At 41.8% G+C, this 10,585-nt stretch overlaps 1 annotated feature.

Moving 5' to 3' along the window:
- Positions 9,738–10,318: an enhancer, noted in NCBI's record as "NANOG hESC enhancer chr2:159819504-159820084 (GRCh37/hg19 assembly coordinates)". NCBI's record gives its function as "activates a minimal SCP1, AML or CMV promoter by ChIP-STARR-seq in naive H9 embryonic stem cells {active_cell/tissue: H9 hESC(naive)}" and the evidence as "EXISTENCE:reporter gene assay evidence [ECO:0000049][PMID:30033119]".

The following is a 10,585-nucleotide window of genomic DNA, read 5'->3' on the forward strand; positions in this document are numbered from 1 at the left end:
TGAGTTTAGATCAGGATTGCATTCAGCTGCATATAAGAGAAACTACCATGGTGGCTTAGCCAAATGGAGTTCATTCTTCTCATGTAACATGAAGTCTGGAGATAGGTGGCTCGCTACTGGCACAGCTGCTTCAGGACATCATCAGGGGCCCAGGTTCCTTCTAGCTTTCTGCTCTACCATCCTTAGCATGTGGCTCTTGTCCTCTTAGTTGCAAGGTGGCTGCCTTTCTTGCAGGTATCCTCATTCCAGACAGAATGAAAAAGGAAGGGCAAAGAGCAAAATATACACGCCAGCTGGGTCTGTCCTTTTTTCATCAGAATCTGCTGCTTTCCAGGAAACCTCTCCCTGTAGAATCATACGATCACCGTAGCTGTAAGGGAGTCTGTGGGAGTATTTTAGCTGGGCTCACTGCCACCCCAAACAAAATCATATTTCTGTTAACAAAAAAAGAAGAATAGAAAGGATCTTGGGTAGAGAACGAGTCATATCTTCCATTGAGCCTTAAGTGCATTATCTCATATCTTTGCAACAAAACTATGAAGTATTTACTATTATTTCCTGGTTTTCCTCCCATGTTTTACATTAGGAAACTGAGGCACAGAGGGCTTAACTAACTGACCTAGGGTCACCCAGATGATGGGTAGGAAAACTGGGATCTGAAGCTAGGCAGTCTTTGGAAGATGATTTTCAAATAATCACAAAAGGCAAAAGTGGAAAGTCTGTCAAGTTTAGAGATTGGTTCTGGGCACGGCCAAGGTCTCTTGGGCAAACTGCCAGCAGGTCCCTGTGGGAGGCAATTATGATGTCATGTCTTTCCTGCTGTAACCACATACTCTCAGACTCCAGATAGTCCTAAGGCAGCTGTGACAAGCATCTGTATTAGCTTACTAGTGAGGCAGGGTTCATGGGTCCAAAAAACTTGGCACATCAGTGCTTCTGGGCAGCAAAATGGATTGGGGGAGGGGTGAGGCAAAGGTGTGGCCTTTCTGCCCTCTTAGCTTAGGGTGTGTGTTTCAGACATGCTATAAAGTACTTCAGGTTCAAGGAGAAAACAAAATCTTTTGAAGCAATAAATACTGACAAAAACTTACATAATTATTAAAATGCTGGGCTTTTTTGGGGGGGGGGGGCGCTCACTCTGTTATCTTTATTCATTGTTTTACTTAACTTTAACAGCTCCTGGCCTGTAGTAGAAAACATGAAGTGTAGCAACAAGAAGAAAGGCTCTGCTCAGGGCAGGAGAGCAGAGGCACTGGGAGCCAGCCAGTGTTCTCAGGTTGTAAAATAAAATCTCTAGACCAATTGGACACTGGCCTCAGGCCATGGCAGTGATTAATGCCAGAGTTGTAAAAAGTGCCGTGGTAGGAACGGTTAGCCAGGTTGTACTGTGTGCGTGTGTGTTTGTGTGTGTGTGTGTGCTGGTTTTTTCCTTAAAGTAGCTTAATATGAAACACATAATTCTCAGTTGTTTTGGAATCTAAAAATAAAATTAAAGACTCATTTACTTTTCTCTGTCTCTCTTTTTTTTTTAAGGAGACAGGCTCTTGCTTTGTTGCCCAGGCTGGAGTGCAGTGGCATGATCATAGCTCACTGTAACCTCAAACTCCTAAGCTCAAGCAATCCTCCCACCTCAGCCTCCCAAGTAGGATGATAGGCATGTGCCACCAAGGCTGGCTAATTTAAAATTTTTTTTTGTAGAGACACGGTCTCATTATGTTGCCCAGGCTGGTCTCAAACTCCTAGCCTCAAGCAATCTTCCCCCATCTGCCTCCCAAAGTGCTGGGATTATAGGCATGAACCACTGCACCCAGCCTCCCTCTTTTTTTTTTATTTTATTTTTTATTTTTTTGAGACGGAGTTTCGCTCTTGTTGCCCAGGCTGGAGTGCAGTGGCACGATCTCAGCTCACCACAAACTCTGCCTCCCGTGTTCAACCGATTCTCCTGCCTCAGCCTCCTGAGTAGCTGGGATTACAGGCATGCACCACCACGCCCGGCTAATTTTGTATTTTTAGTAGAGATGGGGTTTCTCCATGTTGGTCAGGCTGGTCTCGAACTCCCAACTTCAGGTGATCCACTCGCTTTGGCTTCCCAGAGTGCTGGGATTACAGGCATGAGCCACCGTGCCCGGCCAGGCTCTCTTTTTATTAAGAACTTAGCCAACTTTACAGAAGAAGCCTAAGTAACATTAAGCTCCAAACCAGTTATATCACTCCAAGTCTCCCCTGATCTTTGTTAATATACATTACTACATTTTTACACAGATGTAATTAGTGTAGTAGACATATAATTCTGCATTCTACTTTTTTCACTTAACTTTATTTCATATGAATATGTTCATACTGCCTTGAAACATATGTTTTGGGTTTTTTTCTAAGCTTTAGAGTATTCTGATACATCGATCAGTCACTGCTTTCTTAATCATCCCCTTATTGCTGGGTATATGGGCTGTTTTCATGGTTTTGCTGTTATAAATGATGCTACTTCAAACATTTTTGTACAAATTCTTTCTTTTTTGCACGTAGGTTATTTCTCAGGATGATGTTCCCCAGAGTGGCCTTATTTAGTCAATGTGTATAAAGAGTTACTTATCTCTAATTGTTCTCTGACTTACAGTATCATCAGCAATGTAGAAATACACCTGCTTTTCCACATCACTTGATGTGCCAATTATTTACTTATTGTCTCATAGCTCTGCACCGACCCCACTCTACTCTGCTTCACAATGCTGGGGCTAGAAGCCTGCAAAGCACATTTCCCAGGCTTCATTTCTAGCTGGCTTCTTGTTAGGTTCTGTCAATAGAAGAGGCCAGCAGAAAATTAGAAAGTGTAAGGGAGGGAGAAGCCATAGTTTTCTTTCTTTCTGCTTCTGGCAGTATTTCTAGAAGTGACTTCATTTCTGGACGTCCTCTCTCTGGTGTTCCCAGAATCCTATTTGGCATTCCCAATGACACAATAAGACATGCAGTCTTGTGCTGTGGTAGTGCTACCTCCTCCTTCTTATTCTGCCAGCTTCTTTCTTTCTATCTTTATTAATCTCAGGGTTACCTACCTTTCCCTTTTGACCTTTCAGTTCTCCCAACAATATAGTTTCCTGTATTAAATACCCTCTCTTTGAAATACCTAGCTTGATTGCTAATTTCCTGACTAGATCCTGGTTTAGAAACTGGGTCTTCTAATTCTAATATATATTTTATTAGGTTAATGTGAGTATAATGGCACCCAAAGTCCTATTTTGCATTTTAAAAAATTGGTAGTGGAAATAGGTTTTTTTTTTAAAAAAAAAAACTGTAAACATTTCATTAACAAATATAATTTATTTGTAAATTTAAATCTAGTCTTAGGGTCTTTATTCCATTTTTGTTAGATTATTTTTCTGTTTTAATAAATATTGTAGTGGTTGAGCGGTGGTTCCTAAAACATAGGTCCATGTCTAAATACCTGGAACTTGTGAATGTTATTTGGAAATGTTATTTGGAAAAAGGGTCTCCGTGGAAGTAATAGTTAAGGGTTTTAGGATTAGCTCATCCTGGTTATCTGGATAGGGGCCCAAAATCCAATGACAGGTGTTGGATTGGATAAGAGAAAGGCAGAAACTGGGCATGGTGGCACACGTCTGAAGTCCCAGCTACTCAAGGATCACTTGAGCCCAGGAATTCAAGACTGCACTGTGTTATAATCATCCCTGGGAATAGCCACTGCACTCCAGCTTGGGCAATCTAGCAACACCTCATCTCTTAAAGAGAGAGAGAGAGAGAGAGAAAGACCAAGAGACAAAGGTAGAGCGAGAGAGAGAAAGAGAGAGATTTGAGACATACAGAAGAGGAGAAGACACAGACCATATGAAGATGAGGGCAGAAACTAGAGTTTTGCAGCCATAAGCCAAGAAATGCCTGGAGCCACTAGAAGCTGAAAGAGGCAAGGAAGGATTCACCCCCAGAGCCTCTGGAGGGAGGATGGAGCATTGCCAACACCTTGATTTTGGACTTTTGGCCTCCGTAACTGTGAGAAAATAAATTTCTGCTGTTTTAAGCTACTCGGTTTGTGGCAGTTTGTTGCAGCAGCCACATGAAATGAAGACAAATATTAAACAATTTCAGTATTGTTAAAAACTATTTTTTCTTTATTTCATTTGTAGTATTCAAAGTCCTATACATTAAAGGGGGAAAAGGTCACACAAATATTGCCATTAAATAATTGGGTTTCAGATCCTTCTCTACTTGTAGCCATCTCTTATTTAGTATTTGTCCCTACCTTTTCTTAGGTGAGATTTATTACAAGTTGTTCTTGTTCTGTTCTGTTCTGTTCTGTTTCATTTTGCTGACGGCTCTAATAAACCTTATAATTAGGTCTCTATGACATTCATGTTCAGAGAAAAAGACTATCAGCTTCTTATTGAGACAAGACTCTTAAAATTAATTTATCTTTGCCTATCTCTTTTTTCTCTCAATCTTTCTTTTAAAATTTTCAATTCATCAATTATCCTGTTTTCTTCCCATTCTTTTACTTCCTTTTATATCAGCGATTCCCAACCTTTTTGTTTTGTTTTTGTTTTTTGAGACAAGGTCTCACTCTGTCACCCAGGCTGCAGTGCAGTGGTGCAGTCACAGCTCACTGCAGCCTCAACCTCCTGGGCTCAAGTGATCCTCCCACCTCAGCCTCCCGAGAAGCTGGGACTATGGCGTCACCATGTCTGACTAATTTTTGTATTTTTATGAGAAACAAGGTTTCACCATGCTGCCCAGGATGGTCTCGAACTCCTGGGCTCTAGTGATCTGCCGTCTTGGCCTCCCAAAGTGTTGGGATTACAGGCGTGAGCCACCGCGTCTGGCTCCAACTTTTAAAAAAATTGTGGCTACAGCCCCTCCACCGCCTGGGAAGTGAAGAGCTCCTCTGCCCGGCCCCCACCGTCTGGGAAGTGAGGAGTGCCTCTGCCTGGCTGCTGTGCAACCCTCCAAGTGTGAAGTGATAGCCTTGTGTGTGATCTTTCTGCCCTCCCTTGCATTTTCATCATTAAGATTTACTTTTTAATTAAAAGTTTTTAAAAATATATGGCTAAAAAAACCCGTAATTTGTTTTTTTAAACCATCAAAGAGCCCCTTAATTAATTTCCCCCCAATATTTCACAATTTGAAGAATTTTGTCTGTAATCCATATTTGCCAGTTGTGGTGGATATTAGTTGGTTTGCTTCTACCTAACAGGGTATTTATTTGGGAACTTGCATTTTCCTGGTGTAGCCTACATGCTTCAAGGAAAACTAACTACCTTTTCCACCAATGACAGGGATAGGCCATGATTGACAGGCCAATCAGCATGGTTCCCCCTCCTCACCACCAACTACTGTCATTGATTTCAAAGTGGACATTGGAACTCAAATGATACAATCAAGGTGAATTTCAGGACTCTTGCTTAGAATGTTGGGACAGAAATGTGTGTTTTCTCCTACTGGATGTAAATCTGGAAGCGCATAGCCCAGTTGCAGTTCCCAGCCACATTACATTCACAAGGGGAATTGGCATTAGGATGAAGGATGAAGCTAACATTGCACATAGCTAAGCAGAGAATGGAAAGGAAATGAATCCTTGATGATCTTGAGTTGCTGGATCACCCAAATTTTGAAGCTTACTTTATTTGTGATCTTGCCACTTAAGTGAGCCAATAACCCCTCTGTTGGTTAAGCCCATTTAAGCTGAGTTTTCTTTCTCTGATTGTAACCTTAACTGGTATATCATGCAATATTTAATTAGTCGTTTTTATTAAGATATGTAAATTTGATCTTTTGATCAATAATTATAATACTTGTTGCCATTTATTATCTATAATATGCTGTTACATTGCAAAGTGGTTAAAATCATTATTATTGAAAGTATGTCAGTGGCTGAGGGAGAATGGCATGGAAGGAGACACAGAAGCAGCACATTACCACCAATGACTTTAAATTTAATAACGAGCACTTATTCTTAAAATGTCCTTTAGCCACCCTACTGCAGGGATCTTCTTGTGGGAGGGAAAGTTCCTTCATATACATAGCATGCTACCTTCTACTGTCTGCAGTTTCCTCTTACTGCCTTTCCTCAGAAGCAAACACAAAGTTCTCTCCTTGTCACACTTTAAGGCAGTTTGGCTCTTGTCTCTGATGCCTCGCCACTTAACCTATACTGAGGATTATACACTCTCACCTTCTACTCCAATAAATGTTTTCCCAGTAAAGACAGTTACCTTCCAGAGGGGAAGTCTTGGTGCCAATTATTAAGATAAGGGTTTCACCTTGGGTGGCAAAGAGATTAAATCATTTTGTCAAGGACTCATACCTAGGAAAGGAAGAACTGGGCTGTGAATGTAAGTGTATCTGTCTCTATAGCAAAAAGTCTTCAGTTCCAGGAGCCAGAATTTTTTATTTATTTATTTATTTATTTATTTTGAGACGGAGTCTCACTCTGTCGCCCAGGCTGGAGTGCAGTGGCGCGATCTTGGCTCACTGCAAGGTACTACAGGCACCTGCCACCATGCCCGGCTAATTTCTTATTTTGTATTTTTAGTAGAGACGGGATTTCACTGTGTTAGCCAGGATGATCTTGATCTCCTGACCTCGTGATCCACCCACCTCGGCCTCCCAAAGTGCTGGGATTACAGGCGTGAGCCACCACGCCCTGCCCCAGGAGCCAGAAAATTTAAAACAAACAAACAAAAAAATAGGCCAGGCGTGGTGGCTGACGCCTGTAATCCCAACACTTTGGGAAGCCCAGGCGAGTGTATCACTTGAGGTCAGGAGTTCGAGACCAGCCTGGCCAACATGGTGAAACCCCATCTCTACCAAAAAATACAAAAATTAGCCGGGTGTGGTGACACGTGCCTGTAGTCCCAGCTATTTGGAAGGCTGAGGTGGGAGAATCGCTTGAACCTGGGTGGTGGAGGTTGCAGTGAGTCGAGGTCATGCCATTGCACTCCAGCCTGGGCAACAGAGTGAGACCCTGTCTCAAAAATCAATACATAAAATAATAATAATAATAAAGCACAGGGTCTTAATAGTATACCACGGCAACTCTCAGCAAGAGGATTAAAGGATGCTATGCGACTTCTGAGTCTAGGCTAGAAAAGGCCATTCAGCCTTTGTTGCTGTACTTGGGAACTCACTCTGGGAGCCTTCCAGCTGCCACATTAGAGATTTGGCTGTGCTGAGACTGCCATGTGGAGAAATCACATGAAGACATATAGATGCTTAAGGAGCCCCAGCTCCTCCAGCTTCTAGCTGTTTAAATCTTTCCAGCCCAGGCTCCAGATCCCACCCCAGGCATATTCTAACTGCAGCTTCATGAGGGACATTGAGTGAGAACTGCTTAGCAGAGCTCAGTCAAACCCTAGATTTGTAAGCAAAATAAATGATCATTATTGTATGAAGTCCCTGAATTTGGGATGGTTCATTACACAGCAACAGATAACTGGGGAAAAATGCACAATATGTATTCATTCAGTCATGCAACATGTTGCTTGTCCTCATGGAGCTCACATTCTAGTGAAAAAGCTGTCTCACTCATTGTGATTCTCTTATAAGCCACTCTGCCATTTGGTTATCAGCATTATTTATTATACAGACCATTCTTCTCAAGGGCCTTTGGATGTTACATTTTAATCAACATCTGGAGACAATCTTGCTTTTGATATATTTGTCATACTAAGTGATGATACACATGACATTTTTTTTTCTTTTTTTTTTTTTTTTTGAGACGGAGTCTCGCTCTGTCGCCCAGGCTGGAGTGCAGTGGCGCGATCTCGGTTAACTGCCAGGTCCGCCTCCCGGGTTCACACCATTCTCCTGCCTCAGCCTCCCGAGTAGCTGGGACTACAGGCACCCGCCACCACACCCAGCTAATTTTTTAATATTTTTAGTAGAGACGGGGTTTCACCGTGTTAGCCAGGATGGTCTCGATCTCCTGACCTCGTGATCTGCCCGCCTCGGCCTCCCAAAGTGCTGGGATTACAGGATTGAGCCACTGCACCCGGCCCAATATTTTTTTTCAAGTCAAATATTTCTATTATTATTTTGGTTTTCAGCTTCTTGCGTATTTTTTTGCCATTTGATTTTTTAATTAAACTTTTAATTTAAGATTATTATCAATACACATGCAGTTGTAAGAAATAATATGGAAATCTCCCGTACCTTTCATCCAGTTTATCCAAAATGGTAACATCTTGCAAAAGTATTATAGTATACTATCACAAGGACATTGACAGTCATACTGTCAAGAAAAAACATTTCCATCACTACACAGATCCTTCCTGTTGCCCTTTTACAGCCAAGCCTCCCTCCTCCAGCACACAGTCCCTGACTCCTGGCAACCATAATCTATTTGACACTTCCATAATATTATTATTTCAAGAAGGTTATTTAGGCCAGGCGTGGTGGCTCATGGTCGTAATCCCAACACTTTGTGAGGCTGAGGTGGGCGGATCGCTTGAGCTGGGAGGTGGGAGGTTGCAATGAGCCATGACGGCTCCAGCCTGAGCAATAGAGCTAGACCTTGTCAAAAAAAAAAAAAAAAAAAAAAAAAAAAAAGGCCGGGCGCGGTGGCTCACGCCTGTAATCCCAGCACTTTGGGAGGCCAAGGCGGGCACATACAAGGTCAGGAGATCAAGACCATCCTGGCTAACACGGTGAAACACCGTCTCTACTAAAAATACAAAAAATTAGCCGGGCGTTGTGGCGGGTGACTGTAGTCCCAGCTACTCGGGAGGCTGAGGCAGGAGAATGGCGTGAACTCGGGAGGCGGAGCTTGCAGTGAGCCAAGACAGCGCCACTGCACTCCAGCCTGGGCGACATAGCAAGACTCCATCTCAAAAAAAAAAAAATTAAATAAAAAATAAAAAATAAATAAATAAAAATAATTTAAAAAAGATTATTTAAATGGATCATATGTAGCCTTTTGGAATTTTTGTTGTTGTTGTTCAGCATAATTGCCTGGGATTCATGCAAGCTGTGTATATAATAGCTCATTCCTTTTCATTGCTGAGTAGTATTCCATGGTATGGCTGTATCCCAGTTTGACCGCTCATCTGCTGAAGGGCATCTGGATTGTTTCAAGTTTTTAGCTGTCATGAATAAAGCTAGTATAAGCATTTTGTGTATAGGTTTTCATGTGAACACAAGTCTTCATTTCCCTGGGATAAATGCCCAGGGGTGCAATTGCTGGGTCATATGGTAATTTCATGTTTAGTTTGTTGTTGTTGTTGTTGTTGTCGTTTTAAGAAACTCCCAGGCTAGCAAGGTGACTCATGCCTATAATCCCAGCACTTGGGGAGGCTGAGGCAGCAGGATTGCTTGAGGCCAGGATGTCAAGACCAGCCCAGGCAACATAGTGAGCCTCTGTCTCTACTAAAAATTAAAAACCAATAAAAATTAGCTGGGCGTGGTAGCTGGGTAGTCCAGCTACTTGGAAGGCTGATGTGGAGTATTGCTTGAGCCCCGGAGCTCACTGAGCCTCAGCCTGGGTGACAGAGCAAGACTCTGTCTCTAAACAAACAAACCAACCAACCCCCCGCCCCCCGGCCAAAGACTTTCAAACCATTTCTCAGAAAGGCTGTATCATTTTATATTACCACTAGCAATGTATAAGTGATCTAATTTCTCTGCATGTCACCTGATTTTTAATAAGTTAAATACAGCTTCCCAGGTAAATAGTAGGTTTTTGTTTTTTTTAAACCGATTGTGGGAACCTGTTCTTTGTCCAATAAGATTGAGGCCTCTAACATTCTGGTTGACTCCTGGGGGTAGAAAAGGGGCATGGCAAATTAGAAAAAAGATGAATGGATTTATTCCTGAGCCCAAGAAAAAAAAGAAAAAAAGAAAAAAGACAGTCAAAGAAGACAGCATCTAATTTTAACCCCCAGCGACTGCTGTCTTATTTTGGGTTCCTGACATCTTGTTTTAACCTGTTTCTATTGTAATCGTATCAGTAATCTCTTTCCCTTCAGGTGGTCTTTTCAAAGGCACTGAAAACCTTGAAGAGTGAGAAGCAATAGATTAGCTGTGAAATCAAAAGGAGGTTTAAGAAGAGCTTTGAAATCACTGAAAGGTAACAGGGCTTTAGCTACAGCTCACTAAGTAGTCAAATCAATCTTTACTAAGTAGCTGGTTTTTAGAGCAAACGCTCTAGGTAAGGGGTGACTTCTCTAATGAAGCCCAGTAGTTTAATTTCTCCTGATAATTACATAGTGCCCTATTTTCTCTTAGGCAGACACGACTGCTGCTAAAACCATTGAGACATTTAGACATGACACACACAAGAAAGATAGAGGAGCAAAAGTTTATATTTAATCAGTTTCTGCTCCAAATCAAAAATGTTCAGATCTTTAATAGTTAGACAGATAGGACTTCTAATTGTTGTATTAAAAACTTCTAAATGCACGAATCTTGTTTTATGCACCCTTAGGCTTGGAAGTTACTGCTGTCTCTTATATGTGGCCCTTTAGTGGACAAACCTCTTCAATTTTATCAAGTTGATTTTCTTCATCATCCACAATATCAACATTCCTCATCTCTTTCTGGATTAAGTTGTCTGATCATCCAGAGACAAACAGCAAACTGATTT

Source organism: Homo sapiens, chromosome 2 (genome assembly GCF_000001405.40).
Source record: "Homo sapiens chromosome 2, GRCh38.p14 Primary Assembly".
Lineage (NCBI taxonomy): Eukaryota > Metazoa > Chordata > Mammalia > Primates > Hominidae > Homo > Homo sapiens.